The sequence below is a fragment of the Homo sapiens genome, chromosome 19 (assembly GCF_000001405.40).
Source record: "Homo sapiens chromosome 19, GRCh38.p14 Primary Assembly".
Lineage (NCBI taxonomy): Eukaryota > Metazoa > Chordata > Mammalia > Primates > Hominidae > Homo > Homo sapiens.
Window position 1 is genome coordinate 45188830 of NC_000019.10, and position 25678 is coordinate 45214507.

Sequence of the window (25678 nt, forward strand, 5' to 3'; positions counted from 1 at the left end):
CCAAGGTGCTGGGATTACAGGCATGAGCCAACACTCCCAGCCTATTATTATTATTACTATTTTGAGGCAGAGTCTTGCTCTGTTGCCCAGGCTGGGGTGCAGTGGCGTGATCTCTGCTCACTGCAACCTCTGCCTCTGCCCAGCTAATTTTTGTATTTGTAGTAGAGATGGGGTTTCACCATGTTGGCCTGGCTAGTCTCAAACTCCTGACCTCAGGTGATCCTCCCGCCTTGGGCTCCCAAAGTGCTGGGATTACAGGCATGAGTCACTGTGCCCGGCTGTTCTTTCTAATTATTATTTTTGTACCCATTAACCATCCATCCCCTCCTCTGCCACCTCCCCAACCCCACTGGCTAATTTTTATATTTTTAATAGAGATAAGGTTTCACCATGTTGGCCAGCCTCGTCTCAAACTCCTGACCTCAAGTGATCCACACACCTTGGCCTCCCAAAGTGCTGGGATTACAAGTATGTGCCACTGCACCCAGCCAGAGCGCCATTGAATGTTATTTGTTACTTCTGTCTTGCTGCTTTTAGGATTCTTTCTTTATCCTTGACCTTTGGGAGTTTGATTATTAAAGGACTTGAGGTAGTCTTCTTTTTTTTTTTTTTCTTTTTTTGAGACGGAGTTTCGCTCTTGTTGCCCAGGCTGGAGTGTAATGGTGCGATCTCACCTCACCACAACCTCTACCTCCCAGGTTCAAGTGATTCTCCTGCCTAAGCCTCCCGAATAGCTGAGATTATAGGCATGTGCCACCAAGCCTGGCTTTTTTTTTTTTTTTTTTGGTATTTTTTAGTAGAGATGGGGTTTCTCCATGTTGGCCAGGCTGGTCTCAAACTCCCGATCTCAGGTGATCCGCCCGCCCAAAGTGTTGGGATTACAGGCGTGAGCCACCACGCCCGGCAGGTAGTCTTCTTTGGGTTAAATCTGCTTGGTGTTCTATAACCTTCTTACATTTGAATACCGATATCCTTCTGTAGATTTGGGAAGTTCTGTGTTATTATTCCTTTAGATAAACCTTCTACCTCTGTCTCTCTCTACCTCCTCTTTAAGTCCAGTAATTCTTAGATTTGTCCTTTTGAGGCTATTTTCTAGATTTTGTAGGTATGCTTTATTCTTTTATCTTTTGTCTCCTCTGTGTATTTTCAAATAGCCTTTCTTCAAGTTCACTAATTATTTCTTTTTTTTTCTTTTTCTAAGATAGAGAAAGGGGTCTTGCTATGTAACCTGGCCTCGTCTCAAGCTCCTAGGCTCCAGTGACCCTCCTGCCTTGGCCTCCCAAAGTACTGGGATTACAGGCATCAGTCACCATGCCCAGCCACTAATTTTTTCTTCTGCTTGATTAATTCTGCTGGTGAGAGACTCTGATGCATTCTTTAGTTTGTCAATTGAATTTTTCAACTCCAGAACTTCTGCCTGATTCTTTTAATTATTTCAATCTCTTTGTTTAATTTATCTGATAGAATTCTGAATTTCTTCTGTGTTATCTTGAATTTTGTTGAGTTTCCTCAAAACAGACCCCTCCTTCTCTCTCTCTCTCTCTCTCCCCCACCCATATATATAGTTTTTGTTTGTTTGTTTCTTGTTGAGACAAGATCTGGCTCTATCACCCAGGCTGGAGTGCAGTGCCACAGTCTTGGCTTACTGCAACCTCCACCTCCTGCGCTCTAACCATCCTCTCACCTTAGCCTCCTGAGTAGCTGGGACCACAGGTGCACACTACCATGCCTGGCCAATTTTTGTATTTTTTTTGTAGAAACGGGGTTTTGCCATGTTGCCCAGGCTGGTCTCGAACTCTTGAGCTCAAGTGATCTGCCCACCTCAGCCTCCCAAAATGCTGGGATTACAGGCGCCAGCCACTGCACCCAACCCCAGAACAGCTAATCAATTATCTGTCTGAAAGGTCACGTATCTCTGTCTCTCTATGATTGGTCACTGATGCTTTTATTTTATTTTATTTTATTTTATTTTATTTTATTTTATTTTATTTTTTGAGAGAGAGTCTTGCTCTGTCGCCCAGGCTGGAGTGCAGTGGCGCAATCTCGGCTCACTGCAAGCTCTGCCTCCCAGGTTCACGCCATTCTCCTGCCTCAGCCTCCTGAGTAGCTGGGACCACAGGCACCCGACACCACGCCCGGCTAATTTTTTGTTTTTTTAGTAGAGACGGGGTTTCACCATGTTAGTCAGGATGGTCTCGATCTCCTGACCTCACGATCCGCCCGCCTCGGCCTCCCAAAGTGCTGGGATTACAGGCGTGAGCCACCACACCCAGCCTAGTTTATTTTTTATTTTATTTTTTTATTTTTTTTGAGACAGAGTTTTGCTCTTGTTGCCCAGGCTGGAGTGCAATGGCACGATCTCGGCTCACCACAACCTCCGCCTCCCTGGTTGAAGCGATTCTCATGCCTCAGCCTCCCGAGTAGCTGGGATTACAGGCATGCACCACCACGCCCAGCTAATTTTGTATTTTTAGTGAGATAGGGTTTCTCCATGTTGGTCAGGCTGGTCTTGAACTCCCAACCTCAGGTGATCTGCCCGCCTCGGCCTCCCAAAGTGCTGGTATTACAGGCATGAGCCACTGTGCCCGGCCGGCTTTATTTAGTTTCTGTGGTGAGGTCATGTTTTCCTGGATGGTTTTGTTACCTGAGGATGTTCATACATTTCTGGGCACTGAAGAGTTAGGTATTTATTATAGTCTTCACAGTCTGGGCTTGTCTGTACTCATCCTTCTTTGGAAGGCTTTCCAGGTATTGAAAAGACTTTTGTGTTGCGATCTAAGTCTTTAGTCACTGCAGCTGTATCTGCATCAGGGGGCACCCCAAGCCCAGGAATGCCGTGGCCCTTGGAGACTTGTAGAGACACTGCCTTGGTGGTCTTGGATAAGATCTGGAAGAATTCTCTGGATTATCAGGCAGAGATTCTTGTCTTCTTCCTTTTCTCCCAAACAAATGGAGTCTCTCTGTGCTGAGCTGCCTGGAGCTGGGGGAAGGGTGATACAAGCACTGCTGTGGCCACCAGTGCTGGGACTGTGCTGGGTCAGACGTGTAGCCAGCCCAACACGGGGTCTCCCCCAAGGCCCGTGGTCAGCACTGCCTGGGTACCACCTATGTCCACTGAAGGCCCTAGGGCTCTGTGAGGAGCAGACGGCAAATCCAGCCAGGCTTGTGTTCATCCTTTCAGTGTGGTGTGAGCCCCCCATCACAGGTGCGCCCAGAGATGCCATCTGGGAGCCAGGGCCTGGAGTTGGAAACCTTAGGGACTCTACCTGGTACTCTGTTCTACTGTGGCTGAGCTGGCACACAAGCCACAAGACAAAATCTTCCCCACTCTTTTTTCTGCAAGCAGGGGAGCCTCTCCCTGTGGCCACCACTGCCCCAGGACCATGGCAGCTACTGCTTGGCTACTGCCGGTGTTCATTTAAGGACCAAGGTCTCTTCAGTCAGCTTGTGTGAAGGCTGCCAGGCCTGGGTCTCTCCCTTCAGGGCAGTGGGCTCCCCTCTGGCCAAAGGTAGGTCCAGAAATGACATCCAAGAGCCAAGGCCTGGAATCAGGGACCCCCAAGAGCCAACTTGGTGCTCTACTCCACTGTGGCCGAGCTGGTAACTAAGCTGCCAGACAAAGGCCCCTTTACTCTTCCCTCCCGCTTCCTTGAGCAGTAGGAGCCTCTCCCCGTAGTCACCACGTCAGGGAATATGCTGGGTCATATCTGAAGTCAGTGTGTCTCTGAGTCTCACTCAAGGCCCACACGGAGTACTGCCTGGGTACTGCTGCTGATTATTCAAGGGTCCTTTAGTCAGCAGGTAATGAATCCTGCCTGGACTGGGCTATTTCCTTCAAGGCAGCAGTTTCTTTTCTGGCCCAGATGTTTCTAGAAATCGCCTTGAAGCTAGAGCCTGGAATGGGGCCCTCAGGACCCTGCTTGGTGCGCTATCCTACGGTGGCTGAGCTGATATCCAAGGTGCAAAACAAAGACCTCTTTATTCTTCCCGCTTATCTCCTCCAGTGTGAGGAAGACATTTCAAGCCAGGCGTGGTGGCTCACGCCTGTAATCCCAGCACTCTGGGAGGCTGAGGCAGGCAGATCACCTGAGGTCAGGAGTTCGAGACCAGCCTGACCAACACGGTGAAACCCCGTGTCTACTAAACATACAAAATTAGCCGGGTGTTGTGGCACACGCGTGTAATCCCAGCTACTCAGGAGGCTGAGGCAGGAGAATACTTGAACCCAGGAGGCGGAGGTTGCTGTGAGCCGAGATCACTCCATTGCACTCCAGCCTGGGCAACAAGAGCAAAACTCCGTCTCAAAAAAAAAAAAAAAAAAAAAAAAAAAAGAGACTATTTTTGCTACCCCGTTCAGTGGCTCTTTCAGTGATATGAAGTTAAAACCAGGTACTGTGTTCGCTCACCTGATTTTGGTTCTTATGAAGTGCTTTTTTGTGTGGATAGTTGTTCAGCTGGTTGTTCTTCTGAAGGAGATGATTACTGGAGGCTTCTATTCAGCCATCTTCCCCTGCCTCCTCATAATTGCTATCTCTTTATTGATTTTCTCATGTTGTTTGTATATTGGTTGTATATCATTTTCCTGATTTCCATTTATTCTTTGTCTATGGTTTCCTTTAGCTCATAAAGCATATTTAAGACAGTCGATGATGTCTGTGACTAGTAATTCCAATGTCTGTGCTTCCTCAGAGATGGTCTCTGTCAAAAGAACTTTTTTTTACTATAAATAAGCCATACTTGCCCGTTTCTTTGTATGTTTTGTAGTATTTTTGTTGAAAATTGGACTTTTGGAGTATTATAATATGTTAATTATTGAAATTGGATTCACCCTTTCCTTGGAGATTGCTGGGTTTTGCTTGTCAAGGGCTAGAGCCATCTGTTTGACTTTTTAAAACTGTTTTTGCAAAATGTGTATTCCTTTTGCTGTGTAGTCACTGAAGTTTCTATTCCATTTTTTCTGTTTTTTTTTTGTTGTTGTTGTTTTTGTTTTTGAGATGGAGTCTTGCCCTGTCGCCCAGGCTGGAGTGCAGTGGTGTGATCTCGGCTCACTGCAAGCTCCTCCTCCCAGGTTCATGCCATTCTCCTGCCTCAGCCTCCTGAGTAGCCGGGACTACAGGCACCCACCACCACGCCCAGCTAATTTTTTTGTATTTTTAGTAGAGAAGGGGTTTCACCGTGTTAGCCAGGATGGTCTCGATCTCCTGACCTCACGATCCGCCCTCCTTGGCCTCCCAAAGTGCTGGGATTACAGGTGTGAGCCACCGCGCCTGGCCTTTTTTTTTTTTTTTTTTTTTTTTTAATGAGATGGAGTCTCACTTTGTCGCCCAGGCTAGAGTGCAGTGGCACGATCTCAGCTCACTGCAACCTCTGCCTCCCAGGTTCAAGCAATTCTCCTGCCTCAGCCTCCCAAGTAGCTGGGATTTTAGGCCTGTGCCACCATGTCTGCCTAATTTTTGTATTTTTAGTAGAGATGGGGTTTCACCATATTGGTCAGGCTGGTCTCGAACTCCTAACCTCAGGTGATCCACCTGCCTCAGCCTCCCAAAGTGCTGGGATTACAGGCATGAGCCACCGCGCCCAGCCAATTTCTCAGGTATTTATTTATAGCAGTATAAAAACAGACTAATACACCCGCGATCGTTCCATTTATTTCCCTCTTGTTTATTATGAGCACATATGTGTTCCAAAAGACAGTGTGCTTAGATAAATTGTTTGTACCTTCAAACTAGACACAATCTAAATGTCAATCCATTGGTGACTGGGTAAGTAAAGCATGCTACATTCATACAACAGACATTATAGCAATGAACACGAATGACCTTCTGCTGTACACAACATGAATGTATCTCACAAGCATAATGTTCCACCAACAAAGCCAGAGCACATACCGTATGATTCCACTTATCTCCAGTCAGAACCAGGCAAAACCATGCTAGGGGTGTTGAAGGTCAGGACAGCAGTTAATTGGGGAGGAGGCAAGGGGTAATGACTGCATGAAGGGTTGCATCTGAGCCACTGTCAATATTGTATTTCTTCATAGGGGTGGAAATTAAAGATTTGTGTTCACACTAAAAATTTGTGAACTCTGGTATGTGTGTTATACTTTTTTTTTTTTTTTTGAGATGGAGTTTCGCTCTTGTTGCCCAGGCTGGAGTGCAATGACATGATCTCAGCTCACTGCAATCTCCGCCTCCCAGTTCAAGCGAGTCTCCTGCCCCAGCCTCCCGGTAGATGGGATTACAGGCATGCGCCAGCACGTAGTAGAGATGGGGTTTCTGCATGTTGGTCAGGCTGGGCTTGAACTCCTGACCTCGTGTGATCCACCCACCTCTGCCTCCCAAAGTGCTGGGATTACAGGTGTGAGCCACCGCGCCTGGCCAATTTTTTATTCTTTTTGAGGCAGGGTCTCACTCTGCCACCTTCCTAAGGTGCGGTGGCATGGTCATGGCTAACTGTAGCCTAGACCTCCTGGGCTCAGGCAGTCCTCCCACCTCAGCCACCCGAGTAGCTGGGACTACAGGTTCACACCACCATGCCCAGTTACTTTTTGTAATTTTACCAGAGACGGGGTTTTGGAATGTTGCCCAGGCTGGTCTTGAACTCCTGCACTCAAGTGATCCGCCCACTTTGGCCTCCCAAAGTGTTGGGATTATAGGCATGAGCCACAGGGCCCAGCCACAAATGTATATTTAATTTACATGGAAGCCTACTGTTCTCCTCCCTCCCTCCTTCCCTCCCTCCCTCCCTCCCTCCCTCTCTCCCTTCCTCCCTCCTTCCTTCCTTCCTCAGAGTTTCTCTCTTGTTGGCCAGGCTGGAGTGCAATGGCATGACCTCAGTGCACTGCAATCTCCGCCTCCTGGCTTCAAGTGATTCTCCTGCCTCAGCCTCCCGAGTAGCTGGGACTATAGGTGTGCACCACCACGCTTGGCTAATTTTTGTGTTTTTAGTAGAGACAAGGTTTCACCATGTTGGCCAGGCTGGTCTCGACCTCCCAACTTCAGGTGATCCACCCGCCTTGGCCTCCCAAAGTGGTGGGATTACGGGCGTGAGCCACCGTGCCCAGCCTGCCTTTTTCAAGTAGTCATATGTCTTGGAGAGCATTCTAATCAGAATGAAAAACAGCTGAGCCATTCTGTTTACTTATACGGTGACCAAGCCATCTGCTAGTCATTCCCCTATTGATGATCATTCAGGGTGTTCCCTATTGTTTGTGACTACATATGGTGTGGCAAAGAATATCTTTGAATATATTCATTTCCCACATGTATGGGTATCTTGGAAAGAAACACATTTCCAGATGTGGAGTTGTTGGGTCAAAGGGTGAGTACATTTTAAATTCTGTTAGGTGCTACTTTATTTTTTAATTTTTTATTTTTTTTTGAGACAGGATCTCATTCTGTTGCCCAGGCATGGTGGCACATGCCTATGATCCCAGCTACTTGGGTGGCTGAAGCTCGAGAATTGCTTGAGCCCAGGAGATGGAGGTTGCAGTGAGCTGAGATCGCACCAGTGCAGTCTAGCCTGGGTGACATAGCGAGACTCTGTCTCAAATATAATGCAACATGGTGTCCATGGTCCAGGTGAGGCTGAGCTAGGAGGTCTGAGGTCAGGGTAGGTCTGACCCCTCTGGGTGGTCCTCAGTGTCCCACAGCACTGAGCCTGCCAAGGAGGAGGTGCTAGGGGAATATTCCTGAGGGAATTTAGGGAGATGGGAGTGAATTTGATGAGCAGGAGGCAGGGGTCTTTGGGTAAGTGAGAGAATTGAAAAGGAAAAAACTCTTAGCCGGGAGCGGTGGCTCACGCCTGTAATCCTAGCACTTTGGGAGGCCGAGGCGGGTGGATCATAAGGTCAGGAGATCAAGACCATCCTGGCTAACACGGTGAAACCCTGTCTCTACTAAAAATACTAAAAATACAAAAAATTAGCCAGGCATGGTGGCGGGTGCCTGTAGTCCCAGCTACGTGGGAGGCTGAGGCAGGAGAATGGCGTGAACCTGGGAGGCAGAGCTTGCAGTGAGCCGAGATGGGGCCACTGCACTCCAGCCTGGGCAACAGAGCAAGACTGTCTCAAAAAAAAAAAAAATCAATTTTAGGAAAGTGTCTGAGAGAGATCAGTGACTCAGAAGAGTTTGAGTGGGGAAGTGCTCAGAAGCCATGGCTTCTTGCAGGGGGTATGGTCCCACAGGGGCCCACGGGGTTTCCTGGGCACAGGGACCCAAGTGGGACCTCAGCAGGTGGGTGGGATGCTGGGAGTGGAGGGGGCTGAGGGGTGTTCTTTCCTTTACTCCCTTATGGCTGCAGTGAGCTATGATCGTGCCACTGCACTCCAGCCTGGGTGACACAGTGAGACCTTATCTCAAAAAAAGAAAAAGAAGTCCAGGTGCGGTGGCTCACACCTGTAATCCTAGCACTTTGGGAGACCAAGGTGGGAAGATTTGCTAGAGCTCAGGAGTTCAAGACCAGCCTGGGCAACATGGCGAAACCCTGTCTCTACAAAGTAAACAAAAATTAGCTGGGTGTGGTGGCAGGTGCCTGTAATTCCAGCTACCCAGGAGGCTGAGGCATGAGAATCACTTGAACCCGGGAGGTGGAGTTTGCAGTAAGCTGAGATTGTGCCACTGCACTCCAGCCTGGGCAATGGAGTGAGACTCTGTCTCAACAACAACCACCAAAAAAAAAGAAGAAGAAGAAAAAGAATAAAAAAGAAGATTTAGAGGCTGGGTGTGGTGGCTCCCCCTGTGATCCTAGCACGTTGGGAGGCCGAGGCGGGTGGATCACCTGAGGTCAGGAGTTCAAGACCAGCCTGGCCAACATGGTGAAACCCCGTCTCCACTAAAATACAAAAATTAGCCAGGCATGATGGTGGGTGCCTGTAATCCCAGCTACTCAGGAGGCTGAAACAGGAGAATTGCTTGAACCTGGGAGATGGTGGTTGCAGTGACCCAAGATTGCACCACTGCACTCCAGCCTGGGTGGCTGAGCGAGACTCCGTCTCAAAAAAAAAAAAAAAAAAAAAAAAAGATCTAGAAAGGAGAGTTAGGGAGTCCATGAAAAATCTCTAGCCAGCCCTCCTGAAGCACTAGACAGGGGAACAAGTCAGAGTTTGCAGGAAAATCTGGGAAGTCAGGCATATCCAACTATCAGAGTCATGGAAGGCTGTTGCCTCTGCATCTGATGTTGAGCCCGAGGTCACTGGTGGTTAGCAGGGCAGAAAATTGAGAAGAGATAAACAGGAGTGTGGGGGAAACAAGGTCCCGAACACTTGCATCTGTCTCACCCTGCAGGGCAGAGCGAGAGCAAATGGGAACCCCCTAATGCATCTACATCTGTCTTTTCCCCCATCTAAATAGAGCAACCGTCCAAGAAAAATACTGTGCTAAACTTCTTTCTTCCAGTTTTCATGCAATTTTCTCCTTTGGCCAACTCTAACTTAGAACCATATGGGGAAGGGGTTTTTTTGTTTGTTTGTTTTGTTTTGTTTTCAGAGTCTTGCTTTGTTGCCCAGGCTCTGGAGTGCAGTGGTGCGAGCTCGGCTCACTGCAACCTCCGCCTCCCAGGTTCAAGCAATTCTCCTGCCTCAGCCTCCCAAGTAGCTGGGATTACAGGCACCCGCCACCACGCTCAGCTAACTTTTTTGTATTTTTAGTAGAGACAAGGTTTCGCCATGTTGGCCAGGCTGGTCTTGAACTCCTGACCTCAGGTGATCCACCTGTCTCAGCCTCCCAAAGTGCTGGGATTACAGGCGTGAGCCGCCGCACCCAGCCAACTTCATCACTTTCAATATGTCGTGCCACTCTATCCTAGCCTGTGAGGTTTCCACTGAAGTCTGCTGCCAGACGTATTGGAGCTCCATTGTATGTTTGTTTTTGTTTTTGTTTTTGAGACAGAGTCTCACTCAGTCACCCAGGCTGGAGTACAGTGACGAAATCTCGGCTCACTGCAACCTGCACCTCCCAGGTTCAAGCGATTCTCGTGCCTCAGCCTCCCGAGTAGCTGGGATTACAGGTGTGAGCCACTGCGCCTGGCCTCATGCCTGGCTAATTTTTTTTGTATTTTTAGTCGAGACGGGATTTCACCATGTTGCCCAGACTGGTCTGTAACTCCTGGCCTCAAGTGATTCACCCGCCTCAGCCTCCCTAAATGCTGGGGATTACAGACGTGAACCACTGCACACGGCCTCCATTGTAAGTTATTTGTTACTTTTCTCTTGCTGCTTTTAGGACCCTTTCTTTATCCCTGATCTTTGGGAGTTTGATTATTAAATGCCTTGAAGGTAGTCTTTGGGTTAAATCTGCCTAGTGTTCTATAACCTTCTCGTATTTGAATATTGATATCTTTTTCTAGGTTTGGAAAGTTCTCTGTTATTATCCCACTTAATAAACTTTCTATTCCAATCTCTCTACTTTCTCTTTACGGCCAATAAAACTCAGATTTTTCCTTTTTGTGGCTATTTTCTAGATCTTGTAGGTGTGCCTTATTCTTTTTTTTTTTTTTTTTTTTTTTTTGAGATGGAGTCTTGCTCTGTCTCCAGGCTGGAGCACAGTGGCACGATCTTGGCTCACTGCAACCTCCGCCTCCCGGGTTCAAGCAATTCCCCTGCCTCAGCCTCCCGAGTAGCTGGGATTACAGGTGCCTGCCACTACACCTGGCTAATTTTTTGTATTTTGGTAGAGATGGGGTTTCACCATGTTGGCCAGGATGGTCTCAAACTCCTGACCTCGTGATCCGCTTGCCTCGGCCTCCCAAAGTGCTGGGATTACAGGTGTGAGCCACTGCGCCTGGCCTTTATTCTTTTTTATTTTTTCTTTTGTCTCCTCTGGCTGTGTCTTGTCCTGTCTCATCTCTTTTCTCTTCTCTTCTGTTCTCTTCTGTTCTCTTCTCTTCTGTTCTCTTCTCTTCTTTCTTCTCTTCTCTTCTCCTCCTCTCCTCTCCTCTCTTCTCTTCTCTTTTTGAGACAGAGTCTCACTTTGTCGACCAGGCTGGAGTGCAGTGGTGCTGCAATCTTGGCTCACTACAACCTCCACTTCCTGCGTTCAATCAATTCTGGAGCCTCAGCCTCCTGAGTAGCTGGGATTACAGGCATGCACCACCATGCCCAGCTAATTTTTCTATTTTTAGTAGAGACAGGATTTCACTATGTTGGCCAAACTAGTCTCAAACTCCTGACCTCAGGTGATCCAACCACTTCAGCCTTTCAAAGTGCTGGGATTACAGGTATGAGCCACTGTGCCCGGCCTGACTGCATATTTTCAAATAGCCTGTCTTTGAGCTCACCAATTCTTCAGGTTGATCAATTCTACTGTTCAGAGACTGATGCATTCTTCAGTGTGTCAGTTGAATTTTTTCTACTTAATTTTTTTTTTTTTTTTTGAGACGGAGTCTCGCTGTGTCGCCCAGGCTGGGGTGCAGTGACACGATCTCCGCTCACTGCAAGCTCCACCTCCCGAGTTCATGCCATCCTCCTGCCTCAGCCTTCCGAGTAGCTGGGACTACAGGCGCCTACCACCACGCCTGGCTAATTTTTTTGTATTTTTAGTAGAGATGGGGTTTCACCGTGTTAGCCAGGATGGTCTTGATCTCATGACCTCGTGATCCACCTGCCTCGGCCTCCCGAAATGCTGGGATTACAGGTGTGAGACACCGTGCCCAGCCCCTTTCTGCTTAATTTTTAAAAATTATTTCAATCTGTTTGGTTAATTTATCCGATAGGATTCTGAATCCCTTCTCTGTGTTATCTTGAATTTCATTGAGCTTCCTCAAAACAGCTGTTTTGAATTCTCCGTCTGAAAGGTCACATAGCTCTGTCACAATGGGGTTGGTCACTGGAGCCTTGTTTAGTTCACTTGGTGAGGTCATGTTTTCCTGGATGGTGTCAATGCTTGTGGATGTTCGTCAATGGCTGGGCATTGATGAGTTCAGTGTTTATTGTAGTCTTTGTAGTCTGAGCTTATTTGAACCCATCCTTCTTGGGAAGGCTTGCCAGGAAATTGAGTGTTGTGAACTAAACTTTTGGTCACTGCAGCTGTATCTGCATTAGGGGGCACCCCAGGCTCAGTAATGCTGTGATTCTTGCAGCATCTTAGAGGTGCTGGCCAGGCGCAGTGGCTCACGCCTGTAATCCCAGCACATTGGGCAGCCTAGGCAGGCGGATCATCTGAGGTCGGGAGTTTGAGACCAGCCTGGCCAACATGGTGAAACCCTGTCTCTACCAAAAAATACAAAAATTTGCCAGGCGTAGGGGTGGGCGCCTGTAGTCCCAGCTACTTGGGAGGCTGAGGCGGGAGAATCACTTGCGCATGGGAGGTGGAGGTTGCACTGAGTGGAGATTGCAGCACTGCATTCCAGCCTGGGCGACAGAGTAAGACCCTGTCTCAAAAAAAAAAAAAAAAGGAATCTTAGAGGTACTGCCTCAGTGGTCTTGGTTAAGATTCAGGAGAATTCCCTAAATTACCAGGCAGAAACTCTTCTCTTCCCTTACTTTCTCCAAACAAACGCAGTCTCTCTATCTCTGTACGGAGCTGCCTGGGGCTGCTGGAGGGGTGACACAAGTACCCTTGTGGCCACCACCACTGGGACTGCACTGGGTCAGACCCAAAGCCAACACACCACTAGGTCTCACCCAGGGCCCGTGGCAACCACTACCTGGCTTCCACCAATGTTCACACAAGGCCCAAGGGCTCTTCGGCCAGCAGGTGGTGAAGCCTGCCGGGCTTGTGTCCTTCCCTTCAGGATGGTGAGTTCTCTCCTGGCCCAGGGCAGGTCCAGAAATGCCATCTGGGAGCCAGGGCCTGGAGACAGAAACCTTAGGAATCTACCTGGTGCTCTATTCTACTGTGGCTGAGCTGGCACCCAAGCCACAAGAAAAAGTCTTTCCTACTTGATATGGTTTGGCTGTGTCCCACCCAAATCTCATCTTGATTTGTAGCTCCCATAATTCCCCTATGTTATAGGGGGTACCCAGTGGGAGATAAGTGAGTCATGGGGGCAGTTTCCCCCATACTGTTCTTGTGGTATTGAATAAGTCTCATGAGATCTGATGGCTTTATAAGGGGAAACCCCTTTGGCTTGGTTCTCATTCTGTCTTGCCTGCCACCATGTAAGACGTGCCTTTTGGCCAGGCATGGCAGCTCACGCCTGTAATCCCAGCACTTTGGGAGGCCGAGGCGGGTGGATCATGAGGTCAGGAGATCGAGACCATCCTGGCTAACATGGTGAAACCCCGTCTCTACTAAAAACTACAAAAAATTAGCTGGGCGCCTGTAATCCCAGCTACTCTGGAGGCTGAGGCAGGAGAATGGCGTGAACCCGGGAGGCAGAGCTTGCAGTTAGCCCAGACTGTGCCACTGCACTCCAGCCTGGGTGACAGAGTGAGACTCCATCTAAAAAAAAAAAAAAAAAAAAAAAAAAAGACGTGCCTTTCAGCTTCTGCCATGATTGTGAGGCCTCCCCAGCCACGTGGAACTGGGAGTTCATTAAGCCTCTTTTTCTTTATTAATTACCCAGTCTCAGGTATGTCTTTATCAGCAGCATGAAAACAGACTAATACACCACTCTTCCCTCACTTTTCCTCACACAGGAGTCTCTCTCTGTGGCCACCACTGCTCCAGGCCCATGGCAGGTACTGCCTGGCTACTGCTGATGTTCACTCAAGGCCCAGGCCCTCTTCAGTCAGCTTGTGGTGAGTGCTGCCAGGCCTGGGTCTTTTCCTTCAGGGAAGACAGCTCCCCTCTAGCCCAGGGCAGGTCCAGAAATGCTGTGCAAGAGCCAAGACCTCAATTGGGGATGCCAGCAGCTGCTGGGTGCTCTACCCTACTGTGGCCAAGCTGGTGTCCAAGATGCAAGACAAAGTCTCCTTTACTCTTTCCTCTCCTTTCCTCAAGCAGGAGTCTTTCCCCAGGGCCACCACAGCTGGGAATGCGCTGGGTCACACCTGAAATCAGCACGGCACTGGGTCTCACCCAAGGCCTGCGGCGAGCACTCTCTGGCAACCACTGATGTTTATTCAAGGCCCAAGAGATCTTTAGTCAGCAAGTAATGAATCCTGCCAGGACTGGGTCCTTCCTTTCAAGGCAGCGGCTTCCCTTCTGGTCCAGGGTGTGTCCAAAAATGTCATCCAGGAGTTAGGGCCTGGAATGGGGGCCTCAGGACTCCGCCTGGTGCCCTATCCTCCTATGGCTGAGCTGGTATCCAAGTTGCAAAACAAAGACCTCTTGACTTTTCGTCTCCTCTTCTCAAGCAGAAGGAAGGAGTCTCTCCCGGAACTGCAAGCTATACTGCCTGGGGTTTGGGGCTCGGGGGCTCAAGCACTCCCTTGGCTGCCTCAGCCAATGTCTCAGTGGGCCTCATGCCCTCCAGGTCCACTTGTTCTGAGCCCAGCAAGGCACCAGGACTTGCCCAGAAATTGCAGTCCTTGTGGCCTGACTGCCTTTCAAGTTTATTTATTTATTTATTTATTTATTTATTTGAGATGGAGTCTTGCTGTTGTCCGGGCTGGAGTGCAATGACGTGCTCTCGGCTCACTGCAATCTCTGCCTCTTGGGTTCAAGCGATTCTCCTGCCTCAGCCTCCTAAGTAGCTGGGATTACAGGCGTGCGCCACCATTCCCAGCTAATTTTTGTATTTTTAGTAGAGACGGGGTTTCACCATGTTGGTGAGGCTGGTCTCGAACTCCTGACCTCGTGATCCGCCTGCCTAAGCTTCCCAAAGTGCTGGGATTACAGGCATGAGCCACCGCGCCCAGCCTCAAGTTGATTTAGGGTCCCAGAGCACTTTGGCCCGCAGTGGCTAGGCATGCCAGAACTCAGGTTCTCACCACTAGAATAGATGATTTCCCTCTGTCTAATGATCATTTAAATGCTCCCTCCATGGGTGGTGTCTGATTTCTGCCCCATGGTGCTTTCCACTGTAATAGAACAGCGCTGAGTTCCAATGCAAAGCCTCAAATCAGTCACTGAGCTCTCCCTACCCCAAATGCACAGATTCTCTCTCCTTGCCATCTGACTGCTGCCAGGAGATGTGGGAGGGGTGGCATTTTGGGGTAGCACCTCACCCCAAAAGCCCATTGGCTTAAAATAGCAGTCCCATCCCAAAATCTCAAACCACCCCAAAAGCTCATTGGCTTAAAATAGCAGTCAAATATGACATCTCATGGTTCAGTAGGTTAAGTGGGTTTAACCAGTCGATTCTTTTTTTTTTGAGATGGAGTCTCACTATGTCGCCCAGGTTGGAGTGCAGTGGCGCAATCTTGGCTCACTGCAATCTCTGCCTCCCCGGTTCAAGCAATTCTCCTGCCTCAGCCTCCCGAGTAGCTGGGATTACAGGTGCTGGCTACCACACCCGGCTGATTTTTGTTTTGCCTTTTTTTTTTTTTTTTTCTGAGATGGAGTTTTGCTCTTGTTGTCCAGGCTGGACTGCAATGGTGTGATCTCGGTTTACTGCAAACCTCCGCCTCCTGGGTTCAAGCGATTCTCCTGCCTCAGCCTCCCGAGTAGCTGGGATGACAGGCACCCACCACCATGCCCCAGCTAATTTTTTTGTATTTTCAGTAGAGACAGGGTTTCACCAAGTTGGCTAGGCTGGTCTTGAACCCCTGACCTCAGGTGATCCATGTGCCTCAGCCTCCCAAAATGCTGGGATTACAGGTGTGAGCTACTGCACCCTGCCAAATGAGCCAATGATTGGGTGGAGTTTCTCAACTAGTTGCATTCAGATGGCAGCTGGGGCTGGAGTCATCCAAAGGCTCAGCTGGGCTGGAAATCCAAGATGGCGTCTTACATGTCTGACATCTCAGTTGGGATGGCTAGATCAGCTGCGGCTGACCAGTTATCTATCTCTCTCTCCATGCTGCCTCTTGCCATGCCCAGCTTCAGCTTCTGCATAGCATGGCAGTCTCAGGATATTCAGAATTTTTTTTTTTTCCCCAGATGGAATCTCACTCTGCCACCAAGGCTAGAGTGCAGTGGCATGATCTTGGCTCACTGCAACCTCCACCTCCAGGGTTCAAGTGATTCTCGTGCCTCAGCCTCCTGAGTAGCTGGGATTACAGGCATGCACCACCATGCCTGGTTAATTTTTTTGTATTTTTAGTAGAGACAGGGTTTCTCCATGTTTGCTAGGCTGGTCTCAAACTCCTGACCTCGCGTAATCCCCCCACCTTGGCCTCCCAAAGTGCTAGGATTACATGTGTGAGCTGCCATGCCTGGCTGAAAATAATAGATTTATACCTAACCATACTAATAATTGCATTGACTCTAAATTATGTAAACATCCAATTATAAGACAGAGATTTCAGACTAAATGAAAAAGCATGACCCAACTCTATGCTGCCCACAAGAAATTGTGTGTGTGTGTGTGTGAGACGGAGTCTTGCACTGTCGCCCAGACTGGAGTACAGTGGCATGATCTCAGCTCACTGCAACCTCCACTTCCCGGGTTCAAGCAATTCTCCTGCCTCAGCCTCCCAAGTAGCTGGGATTACAGGTGCCCACCACCACACCCGGCTAATTTTTTGTATTTTTAGTAGAGATGAGGTTTCACTATGTTGGCCAGGCTGGTCTCAAACACCTGACCTTGTGATCTACCCGCTTCAGCCTCCCAAAGTGCAGGGATTACAGGCGTGAGCCCTGCACCTGGCCAAAATACACTTTAAATAGAAAGACGTTCTGTACAAAAGTTAACTCAAAATGGACCACATCACTAAATGCAAAACTTAACATTTCTAGAAGGAAACATAGGAGAAAATCTTTGTGACCCTAGATGATGCAAAAGTTCATTATGTACAAGCATGATCATAAGAGAAAATCTTGATAAATTAGATTCCATCAAAATTAAAAACTTCTGCTCTTCAACAAACATTATTAGGAGAATGAAAAGATAAGCCAAACAGTGGGAGAAAATATTTGCAAATTACATACTTGATAAACAACTAGTATCCAGATATTTTAAGAACCCTTAAAAGTCAATAGCTAGAAAACAAACAACCCAATTATTTAAAAAGGGCAAATGATTTGAATAAACACTTCACTAACGAAGATATGCAGATGACAAACAAGTACACAAAAAGCTGCTCAACATCCTCAGTCGTTAGAGAAACGCAAATGAAAACCACAAGGTCACTCTCCACCTATTAGAGTGGTTATCGTGGAGAAAAGAGGCAGAGTGATTGCTTGAGGCCAGGAGTTTGAGACCAACTTGGGCAACATACTGAGATACCGTCTCTACAAACATAAAAATTAGGGGCCGGGCGCAGTGACTCACGCCTGTAATTCCAGCACTTTGGGAGGCCGAGGCGGGTGGATCACCTGAGGTCGGCAGTTCAAGACCAGCCTGGCCAACATGGTTAAACCCCGTATCTAGTAAAAAAATATATATACCAAAAATTAGCTGGGCATGGTGGCGTATGCCTGTAATTCCAGCTATTTGGGAGGCTGAGGCAGGAGAATTGCTTGAACCCCGGAGGTGGAGGTTGCAGTGAGTTGAAATCCCGTCATTGCACTCTAGCCTGGATGACAAGAGTGAAACTCTCAAAAAAAAAAAAAAAAAAAAAATCTATTATTTTCATGGTTTTTCCTGATTCATCTGGTCATTGTTCTCTTTTTCCACCTTCTTTTGGATTAATCAAGTTTTTTTTTTTTTTTTTTTTTTTGAGCAAGGATCTCACTCTTTTGCCCAGGCTGGAGTGCAGTGGTGTGATCATGGCTCACTTCTGCCTCGAACTCCTGGACAAAAGTGATCCTCCTACCACAGCCTCTCCAGTAGCTGAGACTATAGGCGTGTGCCCCCACACCTAGTTAAATTTTTTTTTTTTTTTTTAATAGAGATGGTGTCTCATGTGCTGCCCAGGCTGGACTTGAACTCCTGGGCTCAAGTGATTCCTCCCGCCTTGGCCTCCCAAAGGGCTAGGATTATAGGCATGAGCCACTATGACTGGCTGGATTAATCAAGTAATTTTTTTATGATTCCATTTTATCTCTTTTGTAGGCTTATTAGCTATAGCTCTTTGTTTTATTATTTTATTTATTTATTTATTTGAGAGTTTCACTCTTGTCACCCAAGCTGGAGAGCAGTGGCACGACCTAGGCTCACTACAACCTCTGCCGCCTGGGTTCAACTGATTCCCCTGCCTCACTCAGCCTCCAGAGTAGCTGGGATTATAGGCGCCTGCCACCATGCCCAGCTAATTTGTTTTAATAGAGATAGGGTTTCACCATGTTGGCCAGGCTGGTCTTGAACTCCTGACCTCAAGTGATCCACCCTCCTCAGCCTTCCAAAGTGCTGGGATGACAGGTGTAAGCCACCGCGCCCAGCTATTTTATTTTTTTTGAGACAGAGTCTCACTCTGTTGCCCAGGCTGGAATGCAGTGGCACGATATCGGCTTAGTGCAATCTCTGCCTCCCGGGTTCAAGTGATTTTCCTGCCTCAGCCTCCTGAGTAGCTGGGACTACAGGTGCCCGACACCAAGCCCGACTAATTTTTGTATTTTTAGTAGAGATGGGGTTTCGCCATGTTGGCCAGGCTGGTCTCAAACTCCTGACCTAAGGTGATCCACCCGCCTCGGCCTCCCAAAGTGCTGGGATTACAGGCGTGAGCCACCGCGCCTCACCTGCCTTGTTTTTTTAATGGTCACTGTAGAGTTTATAGTCCACATCTTTAACTTCTCGCAGTCTACATTCAAGTGCTACTGCACTCCACACTCCAGTGTGGGTGACAGAGCGAGACTCTGTCTCAAAAAAAAAAAAAAAAAAAAAAAAAAAAAAACCTAGCTGGGCGTGGTAGCGCACACCTATAGTCTCACCTACTCGGGAGGCTGAGTCACGAGAATTGCTTGAACCCAGGAGGTGGAGGTTGCAGAGAGCTGAGATCACACCACTGCACCCCAGCCTGGGAGACAGAGCGAGACTCCATCTCAAAAAATTAAAAAAAATTTTTGCCTAGTGCTACACATAGGAATGTGCAGGTGCACACGCATACACCTGCATACACACACATGTGCACAGGTACACATAGGAGTGAGTAAAACCAGTGAAATTGGAAGATTAAGGTCTTAGAATTGAACTAATGTCAATGTCCTGTTTTGATGTTGTATTACAGTTATATAAGATGTTAGCATCAGGTAAGTGGATGAAGGGCAAACAAGACCACCATGTACTTTTTTTTTTTTTTTGAGATGGAGTCTTGCTGTGTCACCCAGGCTGGAGTGCAGTGGCGAAATCTTGGCTCATCGCAACCTCTACCTCCTGGGTTCAAGCGATTCTTCTGCCTCAGCCTTCCAAGTAGCTGGGATTATAGGCACCTGCCACCACGCCCAGCTAAGTTTTGTATTTTTAGTAGAGACGGGTTTTGCCATGTTGGCCAAGCTGGTCTCGAACTCCTGATCTCGTGATCTGCCCTCCTTGACCTCCCAAAGTGCTGGGATTACAGGCATGAGCCACCACACCCAGCCTCTCTTTTTGTAACTTCTTATGAATCTATAATCTCTTAGAAATAAAAATAATCAGTCAGGTGCCATCGCTCATACCTGTAATCTCAGTACTTTGGGAGGCCGAGGTGGGTGGATCATTTGAAGTCAAGACTTTGAGACCAGCCTAGCCAACATGGCAAAACGCTGTCTCTGCTAAAAATACAAAAATTAGCTGGGCGTGGTGTCGGGCGTGGTGGCTCACGCCTGTAATCCCAGCACTTTGAGGCCCAGGTGGGCAGATCACCTGATGAGGTCAGGAGTTCGAGACCAGCCTGACCAACAGGGTGAAACACCATCTCTACTAAAAATACAAAAATTAGCTGGGTGTGGTGGTGGGTGCCTGTAATCCCAGCTACTTGGGAGGCTGAGGCAGGAGAATCACTTGAATCCAGGAGGCTGAGGTTGCAGTGAGCTGAGGCTGTGCCATTGCACTCCAGCCTGGGCAACAAGAGTGAAACTATCTCAGAAAGAAAAAAAAAAAAGCCCACAAGTATTTGGAAAGTAAATAACCCAGAAGTCGAAGAAGAAATCAAAAGAGAAAGTATAAACTACATAAAACTCAATGAAAAAAAATAACATATCAAAATACATGACATGAGATAAAGTAATGCTTAGAAAGACATTGATAGATTTTTAAATGCTTAATTAGAAAAGAGGAAAAGGAGGACTGGGGAGACGGTGGTCAAAGGATACAAATTTCAGTTAGGAGGAGTAAGTTCAGGAGATCTATTGCACAACATGGTGACTACAGTTTTGTTTTTTTTTTGTTGTTTGTTTGAGATGGAGTCTCTCTCTGTTGCCCAGGCTGGAGTGCAATGGTGCTACCTCGGCTCACTGCAACCTCTGCCTCCCGGGTTCAAACCATTCTCCTGCCTCAGCCTCCTGAGTAACTGGGATTACAGGCGAGCACCACCATGCCCGGCTAATTTTTATATTTTTAGTAGAGATGGGGTTTCACCATGTTGGCCAGGCTGGTCTTAAACTCCTGACCTCAAGTGATCCGCCCACCTTGGCCTCCCACAGTGCTGGGATTACACGCATAAGCCACTGCGCCTGACCAACTACAGTTAATAACAATGTATTGTATACTTGAAAATTTCGAAGAGAGTAGTTCTATTTCTTTATTTTATTGTTATTATTGTTTTTTTCTGAGACAGTGTCTTGCTCTGTCGCCCAGGTTGGAGTGCAGTAATGCAATCTCGGCTCACTGCAAGCTCCGCCTCCCGGTTTCACTCCATTCTCCTGCCTCAGCCTCCCGAGTAGCTGGGACTACAGGCGCCTGCCACTACGCCCAGCTAATTTTTTGTATTTTTAGTAGAGACGAGGTTTCACCGTGTTAGCCAGGATGGTCTCGATCTCCTGATCTCGTGATCCGCCCGCCTCGGCCTCCCAAAGTGCTGGGATTACAGGCGTGAGCCACCATGCCCGGCCTATTTTATTTTTTTTGAGGCGGAGTTTCGCCCTTGTTGCCCAGGCTGGAGTGCAGTGGCACCATCTTGGCTCACCATCTTTGCTCACCGCAACCTCTGCCTCCCGGGTTCAAGCGATTCTCCTGACTCAGCCTTCCAAGTAGCTGTGATTATAGGCATGCGCCACCACGCCCGGCTAATTTTTGTATTTTTAGTAAAGATGGGGTTTCACTGTGTTAGCCAGGATGGTCTCCATCTCCTGACCTCGTGATCCGCCCACCTCAGCCACCTCCCAAAGTGCTGGGATTACAGGCGTGAGCCATTGTGCCTGGCCAGAACTCTGTCTCAAAAACAAAACAAAACAAAACAAAATTATGCACATGAAAAACATCAGTCACAAAAGACTACGTTATGTATTTCCAAATGTGAAAAGTCCAAAATAGGTAGATTAATAGAGACAGAGAGATTAGTGTCTGCTTAGGGCTAGAAAGTTACTAGGGAGATTGGATATTAACTACAAATGAGTATGAGGTTTCTTTATTTAAAATTTTTTTATTGTGCTGAAATATACATAAAATTTACTATTTTAACTTTTTTTTTTTTTTTTTTTTTTTTTTTTGAGATGGAGTCTTGCTCTGTCTCTTAGGCTGGAGTGCAGGGGCACGATCTCGGCTCACTTCAACCTCTGCCTCCTGGGCTCAAGTGATTCTCTTGCCTGAGCCTCCTGGAGTAGCTGGGATTATAGATGCGCCACCACGCCTGGCTAAGTTTTGAATTTTTAGTAGAGATGTGGTTTCTCCACGTTGGCCAGGCTGGTCTCGAACTCCTGACCTCACATGATCCGCCCACCTCGGCCTCCCAAAGCGCTGGGATTACAGGTGTGAGCCACCTCACCCGGCCACTTTTTTTTTTTTCTTTTTTAATGAGACAAGGTCTCACCTATCATCTAGGCTACAACGCAGAGGCACAATCACAGCCAACTGCAACCTTGAACACCTGGCTTCAGGCGATCCTCCCACCTCTGTGTCCCAAACTGCTGTGTGAGCCACTGTGCCCAGCCAAAAGCTGTTTTTCAATGGAGGACCAACATCTGAAAAGTACATTGACAAACTGAGGCTCTTATATGTTTAATTCAACGCCTACAGGGCAGTGGCAGTGGCTCACGCCTGTAATCCCAGCACTTTGGGAGGATGAGGCAGGAGGATGGCTTGAGGCCAACCTGGTCAACATAGTGAGACTCTGTCTTTACAAAACAAATAAAATATTAGCTGGGTGTGCTGGCACGAGCCTGTAGTCCCAGCTACTCAGAAGGCTGAGGTGGGAGGATCACTTGGGCTAGGAGGTAGAGGCTGCAGTGAGCTATGATCGTGTCATTGCACTCCAGCCTGGGCAACAGAGCAAAGACCCTGTCTCTAAAAAATAAATAATAAATGTCTATGGACTGCACAATATTGTTGATTCCTCAACTCCTCTCTTGCTCTTTTGCATATTGGCAACATAAAAAGTGTCATTTTCGGGCTGGGCACAGTGGCTCATGCCTGTCATCCCAGCACTTTGGGAGGCTGAGGCGGGTAGATCACTTGAGGTCAGGAGTTGGAGACCAGCCTGGCCAACATGGTGAAGCCCCGTCTCTACTAAAAATACAAAAATTAGCTGGGTATGGTGGTGGTGGAGGGGGGGCACCTGTAATCCCAGCTACTCAGGAGCCTGAGGCAGGAGAATAAATTGCTTGAACCTGGGAGGTGGAGGTTGCAGTGAGCTGAGATCGCGCCATTGCACTCTAGCCTGGGCGACAGAATGAGACTCTGACTGAAAAAAAAAAAAAAAAGAAAATGTCATTTTCAGAGGGCAAAGTGAGGAAGGTGCACCCTCAGGACATTCTTGCCTCAGCCTGGGGAAAGAGAGTTTAAGCAATTCCCCCAGAAAGGCACAGGAACCTCAGCCCAGAGAGGGGCAGCTTCCTGCCTCGGGTCAGGAAGCACAGCCTTGGGCTCCGAGAGTCCCTCGTCTCTACCTCCCCAAGTTCAAATGTGCATGCGTGAAGTTCCAAACCCAGCCCCAGTGCTAACCCCTGGCTGCCTCCTCTTTCTGACTTCTCAGGGAAAAAAAAAAAAACCACATACACACAAAAAATCCCACAAGTCAGGAAACATCCATCACGGGCTGTCCAGCCCAGGCCGGAGGGGCAGGAGTCAGCAGGGAGGTGACCTCAAGGTCTCCGTGGGGACTAGGATCCGGCGGGGCTGGGGGTGAGAGGCTGGAAATTTTCCCACCCCGAGACTTTCCTGCGTCAACCCAGGAGGGCGCCCTGGATGCCGCCAGCCCTGCCCCCAACCTCCTTCCTCTCCTGACAGGGCAGCTTCCCGGCTAAGGATGGATGGGGAGGGTGTGCCAAGATGGAGCCACCAGGACCAGGAATGGACAGGCACTTTGAGATTGACCAGACGAGGGACCCTGGCTCAGAGTGGCGAAGGCCTGGCCTCAGAGCCACACAGCCAGGAGGTGTACATGGGTTGGCGTCGCTCCCAGCACATGCAGCCTCCCTCTACCTCCACTACCCTGCCCAGGAGCTGGAGCCCAGCCCGGCCTTGGGTGTGTGAGAAGCCACTGGCCCGGGGCCCTGCTTCCCCGGTCCTTCCTCCCCACAACACACTCAGGACTCAGCCCTTCCTTGTGTTAAATAGAAACCTCTTTATTCTAAGTATCGAACGTTCCTTAATACATTGGATTGGGGCCAGACCTTGAGGTGAGGGAAAGGGGCGGGGGAGCTGGGATATTTCTGTAGAGACTTCCAGAACGACACTCACCACTCTGGGCTATGGCAGGAGGGGAGGTGCTGGGAACAGGCTTCATGGCCTTGGGAAAATGCTTTGTCTCTTTGGCCTCTGTTTCCCCCTACCTTTTTTTTTTTTTTTTTTTTTTGAGAAAGGGTCTTGCTTTGTTGACCAGGCTGGAGTGCAGTGGCACAGTCATAGCTCACTGCAGCCTCGAACTCCAGTGATCCTCCAGCCTCAGCCTCACCAGTAGCTGGGACTACAGGCACACACCACCGTGCCCAGCTAATTTTTTATTTTTTGTAGAGATAGGGGGCAGGTCTCACTATGTTGCCCAGGCTGGTCTTGAACTCCTGGGCTCAAGCAATCCTCCGGCCTCAGCCTCCCAAAGTGTTGGGATTACAGGCATGAGCCACCGTGCCTGGCGTTTGTTTCCCTTCTGTACAGGGAGTTTGGGGTTGGGTGAAAAGACATCTAAGGGTCTTTCTATCCCAGGGGTGTGTGGTCCCAGGCAGGGAGTCAGGAGGGGCGCCGTACGGGAGGTTGGCTTGTCAGCAGCATAGATGGGGTCACTAAGGCCGGCGGTTGGGTGACCCTCAGCGCTGGGCCCGAGGTCGCGCTAGAGACGGAGGCCGGGGCCGAGGCAGACAGGCCAAACTGGGCCTGGCCAGCCGGGAGAGGGGGAGGCGGCCCAGGAAGAGAGGGAGGCTGAGACAGAAAGATGGGCGGGGCACAGGGATGTCTGCAAAGAAGGCACGGTCCCGAGGGGGTGACAGGGCTCCCTCCTCAGAGAGTTCCAGGTCCCGGGCCACGGCCAGGATCTCCTGGCGGGCGGCTGTGTTGCGCAGGCCACGGATGTCGAGGAGGGCTGCCACGTGCTTCTGCCTGTGGGGAGAGGAACAGACAGGTGCATGCAGATCCCCAGCTCTAGACACACACCCAACCCAGCCGTGGACCCCACCTGACCCCCTCACCTATCCCAGAAATTGCCTGAGTTCTGGGGCCTCTGTGTCCCCTCCAGAGCCTTCCCTCCAATCAGCTCCCTTGCCCAGGCCCTCACCTCATACCAGCTCCCTCCAGAACTTCACTTCCAACCATCTCCAAATCCCCCTTACAACCAACCCCAGAACCAGCCCTGGGATCTTCCTTTTCACCCCAAGCCTCAGCTCGTGATTAAAATTCACCTTCTCAGCTGGGTGCCGTGGCTCATGCCTGTAATCCCAGCACTTTGGGGGGCCAAGGCAGGCGGATCACCTGAGGTCAGGAGTTCGAGACCAGCCTGGCCAACATGGCGAAACCCTCTCTCTACTAAAAATACATTAAAAAAAAAAAAAAGCTGGGTGTGGTGGCAGGCGCTTGTAATCCTAGCTACTCAGGAGTCTGAGGCAAGAGAATCCCTTAAACCTGGGAGGCAGAGGTTGCAGTGAGCTGAGATCGCGCCACTGCAGTCCAGCCTGGGTGACACAGCGAGACTCCATTTCAAAAGTAAAAAAAAGAAAGAAACCTTGTACCCCACTCCCCCTAAATCCTCAGCCCTAGGTACCTCCTAATCTCAAGCTCAACCCCCTAAACCCAACCCAGCTAGCAAACTCTTAAACTTAGCTACAGATTCAAGTTCTGACTCATGATCCAATATTCAAGTTCAGAAACTCCACATCAGCAAGAATACTGGGACTTCTTGGGACCCCATGGGACTCCAGGAATATGTGCCTTCCCAAGGACATGACCTTATCCCCCAGAATCAGAACTGACCACCCTGAATCAATTCCAGGACCCCCACCCTCAGTGCTGAAACTGAAACCCGCTCATGCCTCACTCCTTGTTTTTCTGGGGTTCTGTTTCTCTGAGTATGTCTGAGAATGTGTCTGCCCAAATAGCACTGCAAGGACTGGCGTTGCTCCGGCAGCCACCACCACTGCCACCACCATCCAGCACTGTCACATGGTGGTGTGGTGTGCTGATCTGGTACACTAGTTTTTTTGTGTGTTTGTTTGTTTGTTTGTTTGTTTTGAGACAGAGTCTTGCTCTGTTGGCC

General features: G+C 48.9%; 2 protein-coding genes across 6 annotated transcripts in view, besides 1 other annotated feature; one reads left to right on the forward strand and one right to left on the reverse strand.

The window, feature by feature from the left end:
* Nucleotides 1-25678, forward strand: part of BLOC1S3 (biogenesis of lysosomal organelles complex 1 subunit 3) — a 38300-nt gene that overhangs the window by 10046 nt on the left and 2576 nt on the right. For 2 of the 5 annotated variants that reach the window (XR_007066811.1, XR_007066813.1), the window contains exon 4: nucleotides 13577-13678. The gene's annotated coding sequence lies outside the window, so the exon portion shown is untranslated. Of the gene's footprint in view, nucleotides 1-13576; nucleotides 16400-23223; nucleotides 23792-25678 lie in introns of those variants that run through there. The other 3 variants (XR_007066812.1, XR_007066810.1, XR_001753683.2) reach the window with 3 other exon arrangements.
* Nucleotides 17022-17316: a silencer, noted in NCBI's record as "tiled region #12921; HepG2 Repressive non-DNase unmatched - State 23:Low, and K562 Repressive DNase matched - State 8:EnhW". NCBI's record gives its function as "represses a minimal TATA promoter and a strong SV40 promoter by Sharpr-MPRA in HepG2 and K562 cells {active_cell/tissue: HepG2 | K562}" and the evidence as "EXISTENCE:reporter gene assay evidence [ECO:0000049][PMID:27701403]".
* Nucleotides 23541-25678, reverse strand: part of EXOC3L2 (exocyst complex component 3 like 2) — a 33038-nt gene continuing 30900 nt past the window's right edge. The window contains exon 12 of the mRNA NM_001382422.1: nucleotides 23541-24528. Within this exon, the coding sequence (NP_001369351.1) occupies nucleotides 24240-24528 (289 nt within the window). The 3' untranslated portion in view covers nucleotides 23541-24239. The remainder of the gene's footprint in view (nucleotides 24529-25678) is intronic.